Source organism: Homo sapiens, chromosome 2 (genome assembly GCF_000001405.40).
Source record: "Homo sapiens chromosome 2, GRCh38.p14 Primary Assembly".
In the NCBI taxonomy this organism is placed as follows: Eukaryota; Metazoa; Chordata; class Mammalia; order Primates; family Hominidae; genus Homo; species Homo sapiens.
In genome coordinates, this window is record NC_000002.12 from 231,077,486 (window position 1) to 231,094,115 (window position 16,630).

At 40.5% G+C, this 16,630-nt stretch overlaps 1 protein-coding gene across 4 annotated transcripts in view; it reads left to right on the forward strand.

The window, feature by feature from the left end:
• PSMD1 (proteasome 26S subunit, non-ATPase 1) overlaps nucleotides 1-16,630 on the forward strand; it is a 115,961-nt gene that overhangs the window by 20,619 nt on the left and 78,712 nt on the right. For all 4 annotated transcript variants that reach the window (NR_034059.2, NM_002807.4, NM_001191037.2 and 1 more), the window contains 7 exons: nucleotides 1,174-1,262; nucleotides 2,051-2,129; nucleotides 2,656-2,829; nucleotides 5,398-5,509; nucleotides 6,082-6,278; nucleotides 7,534-7,629; nucleotides 9,632-9,696. Coding sequence is in view for 3 of the 4 variants with exons in the window: in NM_002807.4 (NP_002798.2) it covers nucleotides 1,174-1,262; nucleotides 2,051-2,129; nucleotides 2,656-2,829; nucleotides 5,398-5,509; nucleotides 6,082-6,278; nucleotides 7,534-7,629; nucleotides 9,632-9,696 (812 nt within the window). In the remaining variant the exon portion in view is untranslated. The remainder of the gene's footprint in view (nucleotides 1-1,173; nucleotides 1,263-2,050; nucleotides 2,130-2,655; nucleotides 2,830-5,397; nucleotides 5,510-6,081; nucleotides 6,279-7,533; nucleotides 7,630-9,631; nucleotides 9,697-16,630) is intronic.

Consider the following 16,630-nt stretch of genomic DNA (forward strand, 5'->3'; position numbering starts at 1 on the left):
CTTCAGCCTGCTCCAAACTCTGTGGAGTGTACTTTCATTTCAATAAATCTGTGTTTTTCTTTTATTACAAAAAAAAAAGAATATAGGTTTTGTGTCTGTATTTCCCATTGAACTATGATCTCCTTGAGAGCAGCGATTCTTACCTTGTTGCAGTGTTTGTTGAGATATTGCTCTTAACAGTTATTAATACTGATTTTAATTTTTTAGCAAGTAATATATTTGATTCAAAATATTTTAATATAAAAAGATATATAACATGAAAAATCTTCCTTCTCGCTCTCTTATTTATCCAGTACCCCTTCGCAAAGTCATTTTTTTATAGCCATATATTATTGAATGATTAAACAGTTGTTTGATTAAAGCATGTGTAATAATGCTCTTTGAAACTTTTAATACAATTTTTGCAAATGGCAAAAAATATGGAGAATCATATAGTCTCCATTCATGACAATTTAAAGCTAGTCTTTGTAATATAGTCTCATTAAAAATAAACAAAATTTGACCAGGCACGATGGCTTACGCCTATAATCCCAGCACTCTGGGAGGCCGAGGCAGGCGGATCACCTGAGGTCAGGAGTTCAAGACCAGCTTGGCCAACATGGTGAAACCCCGTCTCTACTTAAAATACAAAAATTAGCCGGGCATGGTGGTACATACCTGTAATCCCAGCTACTCGCGAGACTGAGGCAGGAGAATCGCTTGAACCCAGGAGGTGGAGGCTGCAGTGAGCCGAGATCGTACCACTGCACTCCAGCCTGGGCAACCAAGCAACACTCTGTCTCAAAAACCAAAAATAAACAAAATTATCTGGTAACTGTCAGAGGTGCAGCACTGCTCCTCAGGTTATCTCAACACCTTGGAGACCTTGGGCAAGATGGAGAAGAGAAAAAGCAAGTTTAATTAAACCAAAGAATAGAAAATCTGCTGTCCAAATTCCCCACTTAAAATCTGTTGTTGAGCTCTGTTAAAACTGCAAATAAAACTTTGACTTGCTTGTTTGTATAAACTAGCTATTTAGTCTTTATAAAAGAAATACCCAAGATCCATATTTTAAATCTCAGTTCAGTTTGTTCATGCTTTTACCACAAAATAGGACCTCTGACTGTGTGTGTGAGGGTGTGCATATATGAATACTTTGCCAGTGATGAAACAATTCTGTATTTGTTGTTGCAGGATGCAGTACGGAATTCTGTATGTCATACTGCAACCGTTATAGCAAACTCTTTTATGCACTGTGGGACAACCAGTGACCAGTTTCTTAGGTAAATATGCTTGTTGATTTTCACTTTGGTTCAAAATCTTTTTCTTTTTTTTTTTTTTTTTTTTTTTTGTGCAGTCTTACTCTGTGGCCCAGGCCGGAGGGCAGTGATGCGATCTCGGCTCACTGCAACTTCCATCTCCTGGGTTCAGGCGATTCTCCTGCCTCAGCCTCCCAAGTAGCTGGGATTACAGGCGCACGCCACTATGCCTGGCTAATTTTTATATTTTTAGTAGAGACAGGCTTTTGCCATGTTGGCCAGGCTGGTCTTGAACTCCTGACTTCAGGTGATCTGCCCACCTCGGCCTCCCAAAGTGCCAGGATTACAGACGTGAGCCACCGCACCCGGCCTAAAATCCTTTTTAACAGACACTGTGTTAACATTGTTGTAGAGATGTTGAGGACTTTCCTTGTTAACCAGTCCTTAATTCTAAATTATATTTTTGCTATTTTATGTATTTTTTGTTGTGTATTTCTACTTGTTTTAAGGTAAAATTAATTCCTTTTATTACTTGGCTTGATTATAGGCTCTTGAAGGAAATATATTAAGCTCTAAAATTTTATATAATTTTGTTTTTATTTATAGTAGAATTACGTATCGTGCATTTTAAAAATCCTTAAAATACTAAGAACAACTTAAGAGTTAAAATAGAATCAGTAGTAACTTGAGATCCACAAAGTAATTTGGAAGGGTTCAAGGTAAAATTTTAATGCTTTTAACCTTAGAGTTAAAAAGCTTTAAGGAATTCATTTGTTTTAACACTAATTAAAATACATCATCTTTTTTTACAGAGATAATTTGGAATGGTTAGCCAGAGCCACTAACTGGGCAAAATTTACTGCTACAGCCAGTTTGGGTGTAATTCATAAGGTAATATATATTGGTCAGTGTATACAGGCATCAGAAAAGAAGTAATTTTTCTGGGGTTAAGAAAAAATAACAGTTTATTATAATTCATTAACAAGTACACTTTGTTAAGTCAGATAAGTCATTTTGTGGAGAAGGCTAAAGTAAATAAGATACTGAAGTATTTATATGTGTGTTTGTTTTTAATAAAAAGTGGAAATTTGTTTCTATAAAGACTGTGTAAGCCATTGAAAGGATAAATTGAAATGTTATTTGCATAGTCTGAGATGGATTTGGGCAAATGTTATAAAACAAAGGGAAAAAATTGAAGCATTTGTGATTTTTTTTTTTTCTAACCAGAGTGTAACTGGGTCTCTTTAAAGGCTTGTCCTCTTGTTTGAGTTATACAATTATATGAGAGAGAGCCCCACTACCTCCTTCTCTCTTAGCAAGTGAACATTCTGGGGAAAAGGCAGTAATCATAGAAAACATTGTCTTTTTTCTTCTTACTTTCTCTTTTTGATGTCTTTGTTATGACTTACCTTTACAGGGTCATGAAAAAGAAGCATTACAGTTAATGGCAACATACCTTCCCAAGGATACTTCTCCAGGATCAGCCTATCAGGAAGGTGGAGGTCTCTATGCACTAGGTCTTATTCATGCCAATCATGGTGGTGATATAATTGACTATCTGCTTAATCAGCTTAAGAACGCCAGCAATGATGTAAGTATTAAAATGGAAAACTAAATTTCCAAAACTCAAGAATCCAGGATAACATATTTGCCACATTATTTTAGTGACTGGAGATTTTGTAGAATTTGCGAATACCCAAAACAACTGTCATCTTGGATTTTTTTTTTTTAGGTAATTTCATTTCCTTCTTGATAAGCTAAAATTGTGTTTCTCACTCCTTTAAACCCTGCGTGTATTTGTAAAACATGTTGTTTTCCCACACTTTCATCTTAAAATGTTACAACTACAAGTGACCTTAGTTATCATCTAGTCTAGGCCCTAACATTTTACTGGAAATTAAGGCCTAAAGAAGTTGCAGTCTCTCAGAAGTTAGAATCCTTGCTTGTTTTGATCTTTGATAATTGTTTAAAATGTAAATCTTTTGGAAAAGCTTACTAAGTAGCCCTGTTCTTATTTTAAGGAACCTTAAAATGTAATTTTACACTAACTTCTATATTGGAGTGAGGGCCATCAGGAGAGTAGTTAAGTGAGCCAGAAAACCTTGCCCTCATGCATAAGTGAAAAGATTGAAGCCAGGGCTGGGCACGGTGGCTCACGCCTGTAATTCCAGCACTTTGGAAGGCCGAGGCGGGTGGATCACCTGAAGTGAGGAGTTTGAGACCAGCCTGGCCAACATGGTGAAACCCCATCTCTACTAAAAATACAAAAAATTAGCCGGGCATGGTGGTGGGCACCTGTAATCCCAGCTACTCTGGAGGCTGAGGCAGGAGAATCACTTGAACCCGGGAGGCAGAGGTTGCAGTGAGGCCAAGATGGTGCCACTGCACTCCAGCCTGGGCGACAAGACAGAAACTCTGTCTAAAAAAAAAAAAAAAAAAAAAAGATTGAAGCCAATAGGATGATGTCTCAATTAATAAGCCCCTTAGCCACAAATCGTGTGTGCAGGTACACACATTTTTACCTTATTTCCCCTGGTCTCAGGTAAAAACTTTCTTATCAGATAGGGTTTATGGTTACAAAAAAACAAAACAAAACAAAACAAAAACAGCAATAGACAGCATTAAAAACCATTTCTAACTAACTTGAATAAGAAGTTTATTGGAAATAGCTTATATAATTAATAGAAAGGCTGATGAACTAGTTCTCACAAAGGTTAAAGAGCCAGAGCAACACCACAGATGCTAGATAACAGGAACTAATGAAATAGCCTTTTCAGGACCCTACCTTCAGGATGAATGAACTTGAAACATTTTTGGCCATTGGGTTATTCCACTTAAAGATGAAAATCGCAAAGAAGGAGCATTGTATTGCTCTGGCTTGGGTCACACTTTGGCTAGGGGAAGGTGGGAGATTCTTAAATGACAGTCCCACCAGGACTCTAACCAGTGGGGAGGAGTATTACCAAAGGAATGTTGGGATGCTGTCACTAATAGAAGCATGCTGTGCATTCAGAAATGACAGATGACCACTAAAGTTTCCTCTTTCAAATGTGTATATTTCAGAGGTACTCTGACCTCATTTTCAACCACTTTCTTCACAACCATGTTCCATTAGATACCTTTTTCTCCTCTGTCTTTAGCCTCTCACTCTGTACTGCCTCCTTTCCCTCAACCCATGAACATACTCTCATCTATCCTAAACAAAATTCTTTTCTTGACATCTCCCTCTTAGTTGTTCAGTCTTTTTCCTCCCCTTCTCATGTAAACCTACTGAAAGAGAGTTGTCCTCTCTGCCCACTTTGTTTTCTCACGTTCATTTCACAACTCACTATTTTTAATTTATTATCATTATTTTTTGAGACAGTTTCTTGCTGTGCTACCCAGGCTGGAGTGCAGTGGCACAATGATGGCTCACTGCAGCTTCAGCTTCCTGGGCTCAGGCCGTTCTCCCACCTCAGCCTCCCGAGTAGCTGGGATCACAGGCATGCACCACCACGCCCAGCTAATTTATGTTTATTTTTTTGTACAGACCGAGTCTCCCTATGTTGCCCAGGCTGGTCTCAAACTTCTGGGCTCAAGTGATCTTCCCACCTCAGCCTCCTAAAGTGCCGGGATTACAAGCATGAGCCACCAGTCCAGCCTCAGCTCACTATTTTTTGGCATCAGCAAATATCATTCTATTAAAAATGAAATTGCTGGGCTGGACACGGTGGCTCACACCTATAATCCCAGAACTTTGGGAGGCCAAGGTGGGTGGATCACCTGAGGTCAGGAAGTTACAGACCAGCCTGGCCAACATGATGAAACCCCATCTCTACTAAAAATACAAAAATTAGGCAGGCGTGGTGGCAGCCACCTGTAATCCCAGCTACTTGAGAGGCTAAGGCAGGAGAATCACTTGAACCCAGGAGGTGGAGTTTGCAGTGAGCCCAGATCACGCCATTGCACTCCAGCCTGGGCGACAAGAGCGAAACTACGTCTGAAACAAAAACTGCAATTGCTGAGTTTATCACTGACCTTTTGATTATCACATCCTTTGATCATTCTTACTGAGCCAACCTCTGCATATTTAATGTGAAACTGTATTTTGAAATTAGAATAAAAACTTGTATGTTAAGTACAGTGTACCAAATCAATGGAATCTATGTTTTTTCCTTAGATCGTTAGACACGGTGGCAGTCTGGGCCTTGGTTTGGCAGCCATGGGAACTGCACGTCAAGATGTTTATGATTTGCTAAAAACAAACCTTTATCAGGATGATGCAGTAACAGGTAAGCATTTCTTTCTAAAGCTAACAAGCTTAAGTATTAATTAATGTAAATGTAATTACATTAGTTTCTACCTATATTTTGTAGCCTCTTAAAATTCCGATGGATTTCTCTAGTTGAAGAGGAAGTGAATTTTGCTCCATTTGTCAAAGTTATCTTTTAAAACAAGTTTTGTGATATATAGGCTTTCTAAAATGGTATATCCTGTGTGTCCACTTTCATAACTGACTTTTGCAAACAGGAATTTATTAGGGTGATCTGCTTACTCCATACTGCTTGGCGATAATATAGAAAAAATGTTATCTAAATGTCTCCTTTGAAATCACTGTAGGATTTGATGGTACATTCTGTCAAAGTTTAAAAGGAAAACAACCCTAAATATGAATGTGCGAACCCTAAATGTATGAATGTGCTTCCACATAAAGTATCCTTTTTACCAGGTGGTTTAAAAAAATGCTATCAGAAGCTAATGATTTTTTTGATAGTTTATGCAAAAAGAGTGCTACTTTCAGTTGGATGTTTTACTGACTTTAAAAACATAACTCTCTGTTAACATTTTACTCGTTACTTGCCAGGGGAAGCAGCTGGCCTGGCCCTAGGTTTGGTTATGTTGGGCTCTAAAAATGCTCAGGCTATTGAGGACATGGTTGGTTATGCACAAGAAACTCAACATGAGAAGATTCTGCGTGGTCTTGCAGTTGGCATAGCTTTAGTAATGTATGGGAGGATGGAAGAGGCTGATGCTCTCATTGAATCTCTCTGTCGTGACAAGGTGAGATCACATACGTCCCTCACTGTCCATTTATCTCCAGCATGTAAAAAACACTTAACTTCACTGGAAATTAACTCTGTTCCCATCAGAACATGTAGGTACACTTATTCATAAAACTTCTGGCAATGTATATGAAGCCTAATAGAATTTAAGAAATAAAAGCACTGATTAGAAAAGGTACATGGGAGTAATTTGAGGATTTTAAATTTTGCTATAGCTTCAGATCGGTGATACTCATAAGCAGATTCAGCATAGTTCTTTAGGAATTCACGAGTTGATTTCTTTTAGAAATAATAATTTTTGGGCCAGGCGTGGTGGCTCACGCCTGTAATCCTAGCATTTTGGGAGGCCGAGGCAGGTGGATCACTTGAGGTCAGGAGTTCAAAACTAGCCTGGCCAACATGGTGAAACCCTGTCTCTGCTAAACGTAGAAAAAAAATTAGCCAGGCTTGGTGGCGGACACCTGTAATCCCAGCTACTTGGGAGCCTGAGGCATGAGAATTGCTTGAGCCTGGGAGACAGAGGTTATAGTGAGCAGGGATTGAACCACTGCACTCCAGCCTGGGTGACAGAGCAAGACTCCATCTCAAAAATATATATATATATATTTTTGGAATGATTTGATAGTCATTTAATAAGATACAAAGTTTACTTCATTATTCTTTTATCAGAAAACAGTACCAATCTCTATACTTGTTTATTTGGGTGAGGTTTTTTTTCCATTGCCTTTTGTTTAGTTTTTATAATGGTGTTGTATATGGTGGGTAGTTAGTGGCAGGTAATACTGTCCTCTATAATCAATAAGAACCACTGCTATAGTTTATTGATAAAATTATTAATTAATTTGTTCAGTTACCAGGCTCCATCTTTCTTCCACTCAGCACTCAGTACCCAGGAATTTAAATAAGGTAAAAATGTAGAATTAGAAGCCAACTTCCTTGCTTGATTGTTAAAAGGAAGTGGACTGCCATAGGAGTGGCTGTTGCTGTTGACTTGACTTTATACTTCCTAAAAAGTATGAAGCAGGGCAGGCATATTGCATAGCGTATTGGGAATTAAGAGCAGCTACCTCCTTCTGTATTTATGTGTTTTATTGCCCCATTTATTTCAAAAACTACCAACCACAAAAGAGTTATTGAGCTCATCATTTCCTATCTGAGACCAGCTTACTTGGTGGATGCCACTATGCCTATTAGACTGTAGAAGTTAACTGTTTGAAATAAGTTGATGATTAATGTTAAATTATTTTTCTTAGGACCCAATTCTTCGAAGGTCTGGAATGTATACTGTAGCCATGGCTTATTGTGGCTCTGGTAACAACAAAGCAATTCGACGCCTGCTACATGTTGCTGTAAGTACTCTGACCTTTCTTGGGAATGGGGTGGACGGAAAAGCTTGCAGATGGACAATAAGTGTCTAGGTGACTCCAGCATCCACAGCGCATGACCACCACCAGTGGTCTTAGGTTGTGATTCTCATTTACTGGACCCAACAGGCCATAACCTAGCACTAGATTCACTTAGCTTTTCAGAAGGATATGGGATGGGATAACAGTCCCATATAAATGGAAGTCCTTAAAGCCATTCAGGTGCAACTTCTAAAATCCTACTGCAAGGAGCACCCTCATTTGTAAGGGATAAGACCTTGTGAGTATGTGTGGCCACCCTAGGATAGAGAAATTCAGTGAAGAACAGGAACCATTTATTTCTTTTTACAGCCGGTAGAGTTAGCTTCCACATACCCCTAATGGGTGCAGTGGCTCATGCCTGTAATCCCAGCTACTCTGGAAAGTGAAGTGGACAGTGAGCTATAATTATGCCACCGCACTCTAGCCTGTGCGACAGGGCAAGACCCTATCTCTAAAAAACAAGCAAACAATCCCCCACCCCCACACCCCGGGACCCCTAAGGAACATGATCTATTACAAGAGATGCACTGCACAGGAAAGCCAATGCACATGTTTTCCAAAAGGCTTTCCACTCATAGTTCTCCTAATCCAAATGTAGTTATCAGCAATAAGTAATATTGCCTGGTCACACAGTGGACATTCCACGTGTCTTAATAGGTTTTTATCATCGTGGTGCTGGGAAAAGGTAAACCAAGGGTACCTTTCTATGCAGAAAGACTTAGAACTATTGTTAACTCCTTTTTCCCAGAGATAATATTTTCCACAGTATTTATTAATAATTAATAAATAATTTTTTTAGCAGTGCAGTATGTTCTAAATGTTCATATTTTGCAAAAGCCATAATGCAGCTGAAATAGTCTTTTTCTTTTTTTTTTTTTAGCGACTTTGAGACAGGGTTTCGCTCTATCATCCAGGCTGGAGCGCAGTAGCACAATCACAGCTCATTGCAGCCTCAAACTACTGGGCTCAAGTGATCCTCCTCCTACCTCAGCTTCCCATGTAGCTAGAACTACAGGCACACACCACCGTGCCTGCCTAATTTTTTAACTTTTTGTGTAGACAGGGTCTCGCTGTGTTGCCTAGGCAGATCTCGAACTCCTGGGCTCAAGCAATCCTCCTGTTTTGGCCTCTCAAAAGTGCTAGGATTACAGGTGTGAGCCACTGTGTCTGGCCAGTTGAAATGGTCTTAAGAAGTAGCCCTGGGGCCGGGCATGGTGGCGTACACCAGTAATCCCAGCACTTTGGGAGGCAGTGGTGGGCAGATCACCTCTGGTCAGGAGTTTAAGACTAGCATGTCCAACGTGGTGAAACCCCATCTCCACAAAAAATAGAAAAATTAGCTGGGCATGGTGGCACACGCCTGTAGTCCCAGCTACTTGGGAGCCTGCAGCAGGAGAAACACTTGAACCCGGGAGGCAGAGGTTGCAGTGAGCCAAGATTGTGCCACTGCACTCCAGCCTGGGTGACAGAGTGAGACTCTGTCTTAAAAAGAAAAAGAGAGAGAAAAGTAACCCTGAATCTTAAACTTTGTCAAGCTGTGAAGACTTCTAAGCCCCTGAATTGAAATTTTTCAATAACTTTTTCTAAACTGGGGACAGAAATTTATTCTTCAAAAATACATGTGGCCAGGTGCAGTGGCTTATGCCTGTAATCCCAGCACTTTGTGAGGCCAAGGTGGGAGGATCTCCTGAGCCCCAGAAGTTTGAGACCAGACTGGGCAACATAGGGAGACCCTGTCTCTATAAAAATAAAAATAAAAATACATGTGTCTATTTTTTGAATGTATTCATTTATTGTATATGTTTAGAGGTGTGCAACATAATGTTTTGATATACCTATCAGTAGTGAGGTATACACTCACTGTTGAATGATGCTGACCTCTCATGTCAGTTTGGTCTAGTGGTAGACTACATAGTATAATATAATCTTAAACTTTTCCCCCTAGGTAAGTGATGTTAATGATGATGTCAGGAGGGCAGCAGTAGAATCACTTGGGTTCATTCTATTCAGGTAATAACTTCAAACTTCTTATTCTATTTATATTTCATTTTTTTTGGAAATGTAGTAGTCACTACCGAAACTACCAAACAGTTTAGTCACTAAACAAAAACTAAATACCTGAGGAGTATATCTGGGTTCAGAGTGAGGACCATTTAATAGCGAGATTAGTACTGTTCATCTGAAAAAGAACAAAGCATATCATGGGATTCTGAGAACCTCTTTTAGAAGTAGTTATTTCTGTTCATTTTTTGGTAGCATTCTGCTTATTCATTTAACTTTTTAAATCCAAATAACACATCCAGTACTCCTCTTCTTGTATATTGGTAGTTCAAATGGATATTATCTCTTACACAGGTTTGTAAAGTTTTTGAAGGGCTTTAATGAAAGTGAAAGGTAATAGGTTTTGTTTAAATGCCAGAGTGAAAATTTTTAAAGATTATCTTTTACTTATAGTCATGGAGATGTCCTTGGCAGTATGATATAGTTGTGTTTAAGAAGTCATACTCTTGGCTGGGCGCGGTAGCTCATGCCTGTAATCCCAGCACTTTGGGAGGCCGAGGAAGGCGGATCACGAAGTCAGGAGTTCGAGATCACCCTGACTAACACGGTGAAACCCTGTCTCTACTAAAAATACAAAAAATTAGCCACGTGTGGTGGCACGCACCTGTAATCTCAGCTACTCGGGAGGCTGAGGCAGGAGAATCGCTTGAATCTGGGAGGCAGAAGTTGCAGTGAGCCGAGATCGCGCCACTGCACTCCAGCCTGGGGTGACAGAGTGAGACTCCCTCTCAAAAAAAAAAAAAGAAGTCACACTCTAAACCCATCTGCCTGGGTTGACTCCTGACTCAGCTTCTTACTAGCTGAATGACTTTCAGCAAGTTGCTCAACCTCTTTGCGCCTCAGTTTCCTTGTCTTTAAAATGAGTATAATCATAATACCCATCTGAGAAGATGTTTTTGACAAGTGAATTAATATATATATGCAATGCCCTTAGAGTGGTGTCTGGTACTAGTAAGAACTAAGTGTGTATTAATAATGGTAATTGTAGTAGTTGTAGTTGTGGAGTTGGTGGTAGTATTAATAGATGTAATAGTAGTTCTTCCAGTAATTCATTACTGTCTACTTAGATTCAATCTCAGACATCAGTGTTTCTCTTAGCTAAGATACAAGCATACCTTGTTTTACTGCACTTTGCTTTATTAAGCTTTGCAGATACTGCATTTGTTTAAAAATTGAAGGTTTGTGACAAGCCTGCATCAAGCAAGTCTACCAAAACCATTTTTCTAACAATGTGTGCTCATTTCATTTCTCTGTGTCACATTTTGGTAATCCTCACAATATTCCAGACTTTTTCGTTATTTTATCTGTTATGGTAATCTGTCATCAGTGATTTTTGATGTTACCATCGTAGTTGTTTTGGGACACCACGAACCACACCCATGTAAAACAGCAAACTCAATCAATAAATGTGTGTTCTGACTGCTCCACACACCGATCATTCCTCCATCTCTCTCCCTCTTCTTGGGACTCCCTATTCCCTGAGACACAATAATATTGAAATTAGGCCAGTTAATAACCCTACATGGCCTCTGAGTGCTTAAGTGAAAGAGAGAGTCCCACATTTCTCACTTTAAATCAAAAACTAGAAATGATAAAGCTTAGTGAGGAAGACATGTCGAAAGCCAAGATAGACCAAAGGTAGGCCTCTTGCATCACAGATAGCCAAGTTGTGAATGCAAAGAAAAAGTTCTTGGAGAAAATTAACAGTGCTACTCCAGTGGACACGCAAATGATAAGGAAGTGCAACAGCCTTATTGCTGATAAGGAAAAAGTTGTAGTGCTCCGGAGAGAAGATCAAAGCAGCCACAACCTTCCCTTAAGCCAAAGCCCAATACAGAGCAAGACGTTAACTCTTCAGTTCTGGAAAGGCTGAGAGAGGTGAGGAAGCTGCAGAAGAAAAGCTTGAAGCTAGCAGAGAGCTTGGTTCATGAAGTTTGGGGAAAGAAGCTGTCTCCATAACATGGAGGTGCAAGGAGAGGCAACAAGTGCTGATGCAGAAGCTGCAGCAAGTTACCCAGAAGATCTAGCTAAGATCATTGATGAAGGTGGCTATCCTAAACAACAGATTTTCCATGTAGACAGAATAGCCTTCTATTTGAAGAAGATGCCATCTAGGACTTTCATAGCCTAGAGAGGAGAAGTCAATTCCTGGTTTCACAGCTTCAGAGGACAGGCTGTTCTTGTCAGAAGCTAATGCAGTGGGTGACTTTAAGTTGAAGCCAATGCTCTTGTATCATTCTGAAAATGCTGGGGCCCTTAAGAATTATGCTAAAGCTGTTCTACGTGTTCTAGAAATGAAACAACAAAGCCTGGATGACAGCATGTATTAGTCAGGGTTCCCTAGAGGGACAGAATTAATAGGATATATATATATATATATATGGGAGTTTATTAAGTATTAACTTAAACAATCACAAGGTCCCACAATAGGCTGTCTGCAAGCTTAAGGAGCAAGGAGAGCCAGTTTGAGTCTCAAAACTGAAGAACTTGGAGTCCAATGTTTGAAGGCAGGAAGCATCCAGCACAGGAGAAGGATGTAGGCTGGAGGCTAATCCAGTCTCTCCTTTTCACGTTTTTCTGCCTGCTTTATATTCCCTGAGAGCTGATTAGATTATGCCCACTCAGATTAAGGGTGGATCTGCCTTCCCCAGCCCACTGACTCCAATGTTAATCTCCTTTGGCAGCGCCCTCACAGACATACCCAGGATCAATACTTTTCATCCTTCAATCCAGTCAAGTTGACACTCAGTATTAACCATCACACAGCACATCTGTTTATGTGGTATGCTAAATATTTGAAGCCCACTGTTGAGAATTACTGGTCAGAAAAAAGATTCTTTTCAAAATATTACTGCTCATAGACAATGCACTTGGTCCCCCATGGGTTCTGATGGAGTTGTACAAGGAGATTAATGTTATTTTTATGCCTGCTAACACAATAACCATTCTGCAGCCTGTGGATCGAGGAGTAATTTTTTACTTTCAAGTCGTATTATTTAAGTCATTTCTTAAGACTATAGCTGCCATAGGCTGGGCGTGGTGGCTCACGCCTGTAATCCCAGCACTTTGGGAAGCCAACGCGGCAGATCACCCAAGATCAGGAGTTTGAGACCAGCCTGGCTGACATGGTGAAACCCTGTCTGCGGTGAAACCTTGTCTCTACTAAAAATACAAAAATTAGCTGGACATGGTGGCAGGTGCCTGTAATCCCAGCTACTCAGGAGGCTGAGGCAGGAAAATCACTTGAACCTGGGAGGCGGAGGTTGCAGTGAGCTGAGATCACACCATTGCACTCCATCCTGGGCGACAAAGCAAGACTCCATCTCAAAAAAATAAATAATAAATAAAAAAGACTAGCTGCCATAAAACGTGATTCCTCTGATGGCTCTGGGCAAAGTAAATTGAATACCTTCTGGAAAGCAGTCACCATTCCAGATGCCATAAGAACATTCATGATTCACAGGAGGAAGTCAAAATATCAACATTAGCAGCAGTCTAGAAGAAGTTGATTCCATCCCTCATGGATAACTTTGAGGGGTTCAAGGCTTTAGTGGAAGAAGGAATTGCAGAATTGGTGAAAATAACAAGAGAACTAGAACTAGAAATGGAGTCTGAAGATGTGACTGATAAAACATCAATGGCTGAGGAGTTGTTTCTTGGGATGAGCAAAGAAAGTAGTTTCTTCATTTGGAATCTACTCCTGAAGATGCTGTCGACATTGTTGAAATGTTAGGTGTAGGAAAAAATAAAAAAGAAGTAATCACTTTTTGGGTCTGACCTGCAGACCCTGGCCGAGTGATAGATGAAAGAAGTTCTCAGACATGGATATCCAGTGAAGGAGTGGGCTAGGGGGCTGCTGGCACTAGGGCCGAAGAGAGTTAGCCGCCTCTATAAGCCAGAGATGCTCGTGTTTATTTAGTACAGATTTAATGAGAAAGGCTTGGAGCAAACACAATTTGTGGGTAATTAACATTGTCGACCCACCAAATAGAGAGCAGTCCTGCACACGAATGATCACAGATTAGTTTCTGGAGACAAGAGTAAACAAGTTTATCTAGATAAGTTCCTTTACATTCCCTTGTTATGTAACCCTTGCTCTTAAGAGAATTTAACTGCCTTCAGCTAAATCCTCTTGAAGCTTTTGCAAAACCTCCCGGCCTTCCAATAAGGTTTGCATCTTTCCCTATAATTTTTATAACTTTTCCCACCACCCTGACTGATCTCCTACATCTCCTCCTTCCTTTTCTGCTTTTTACATCAGGTTTTGTTAATTGAAGAGTACAGATGTGTGCAGCAGCAGATTTGTTAGGCATAGTGGTTATAACTCGTTTTCCAGCTTTGCATCCTAGAATTAGTAAATAGCATAAGACAAACATGAGTATAATCAGTAACATTCTTTTCCAACAAGAATTGACCCCCAGGAGTGGGGGTCTATCCAGGAGAGATGTTATCTCACATCCTTCCATATGGCTGTTTGTTGGGCGTGTAGATCTACGGTGTTTAGGGATTCTAGAATTTTAGTTTTAAGTTGTCTTAAGTCTGCTGTTAAATTATCATATAAGGTTCCCCAGGGGTGTTGTTTCACCTCATCCCAACTATGTATTGGTTGATTCCAAGGTAGGGAGGTGACACAGATACACTTATGCTCCCAGTCACAGTTTAAGTGCTGTCGGAATGCCAGCGCATCTTGCTGCTCCCCTGTATATTCTAAGGCAGCCTCAGGGGCTTGCAGGCGTGCAAGAATCTTTTGATCTGTACCCTGCTCTAAGAGAAGTTCATTAGACACATTTTTGGCCAAGTTACCTACAAAGGTAGCTGTTTTTACAGATTCAGTAATAGAGGCCACAGCAATACTAGCAGTTGCTAAGATGACTATGGCTGAGACTATAAAGGTTTTATAAGTGTGCCTATGAATCTTTTGGGTCTGACCTGGGACGGGGCATGTTCTCAGGTGGCAAGAGCAGAGGAACCTTGCCAATCACGTGTCAAATTGGTGGGAATGCTTCAGATTGTCTCCTTAATACCATGATACTAGTAATATTTAAATTAGATATAATTAGTGACGCATGAGGCAAACCAAACCTGTCCCTGCACTCGGGTCACAAACGTGGAGTTTTGGGGTGTAATGGAAATATTGGTTCCCATAAGGAAAACATATGGATGGGTAGTGCAAATCAGGCACTGATCTGTGTGATTATGAATAAAGGTCACAGTATAGTTGTTACTGGAATTATGGTATGTCCCATACCAGGTGTAAAGGGAGATGCTAAGATGTCCCAGGCACCATAAAGTGTCTTGGGGTGGCATGGACTCTCCTTGGGATCTGGGATATCCCGTCCCTCCATCGGCCCAAATTGTACGGGAATGAGACGTGGCTGCAAAACTGTGATTGATGCCACGATGGATGAGGACATCAGTATGGTTGCTCTGCAAGTGTCAGTGGGGGCTCTAGTCTAAGATGTTATAATAGCCTAAATGGAGTCTACGGGCTTGTCCTCCATGACAGACCTCCCAGCCAAAGTGGAATCCATTACTTTCCTGGCTATGTTCTTTAGCACAGGAAGGAATGTTGGGGAAAGTGGCGTTGGTTGCATTGCCCGGTTTGAGGCTATCTGCAACCAAGAATGTTAAGGCATTTCCTTTGCCATGATATAGCCATACTTGAGTTTGGGCAGGTACACAGTAAGGATTGGAACTTTTATAACTAATGCACAGTGGGAGGATAGTGGAGTGATATATAGTGTTACCTGGCATCTTAATCCAATGTGTGCCATTAATGAGGGACCCCACTGGGGGTAAGTCAATCCCTCCTAGCCAAGCAGTTATGTTATTAGAGGTTGGGAAGGGGGTGTCTGCCCAAGTAACAGGGCAAAAGAAAAGCAGATCTAAGCCAAGCAATTATGTTATTAGAGGTTGGGAAGCGGGTGTCTGCTCAAGTAACAGGGCAAAAGAAAAGCAGATCTAAGAGATGAGCCCAATAGAGAGTAGCAGGTGCAGGTTGCAGGCAGAGTGAGAGATTAAGAAGGGTTAATACCCTATGAGAGTTGCAGTGTACAACAGAAGGCATAGCAAGGAACAAATTATGTGGAGTGAATGGTGTCTGTGTCTGGAGCAGGATTCGCTCAGCCTCCTGAGTTGTCTTCTTCAGCATCCCCCAGGTAAAGTCCGGGGCTTGTGTCATCCTAGGAAGCCGCGTCGTCCGGGGCTGCTGGTCCTGCAGGGACATTTCCTTCATTTCTGGTACCAGGTTGGGTCCTAGCCACACCATGGTATGATTTGATGTATCGTGCTAGAATCCAGAGAGGACCTGAGGGGGTGTGAACACAAGCATATCCTCTTTCCCATGTAAGCAAATCATTTGGACCACACCATACATTACTATTTACATTTTTCCATTAAACTGCAGGTTTTATGTCTTGAGAGGTTTTAGCAAAGTGCTTTTCTATGGCTGAAATTTATCATCTAAATTTTAAAAATTAAGGGTAAATAAGGCTTGTGCCAGTAGTGTTGCCAGGTTCTTACCCATATTCCCCCTTTTTTGTTTTTTTGAGCATATTTTTAAGAGTGGAATGGGTATGTTCTACTGTCCTTGGGGGTTATACGAGATGCCTGTGGAATGTTGGATGTTCCACGTGTGACAAAATTGTTGAAATTGTGAGCTGGCATAAGCCAGACCATTATCAGTTTTAATTTTTGTGGGCCGCCCTATAAATGCAAAAGTTAAGAGTAGATGTTTAATAATATATTGGGTGGACTCTCCAGGAAAAGTATGTGCACTAATTAACTGAGAATTGGCATCAATGGATACATGTACATATCTTTGTTTTCTAAATTTAGGATGTGAGTAACATCTGTTTGCCATAACTGATTAGGTTCTAGTCCT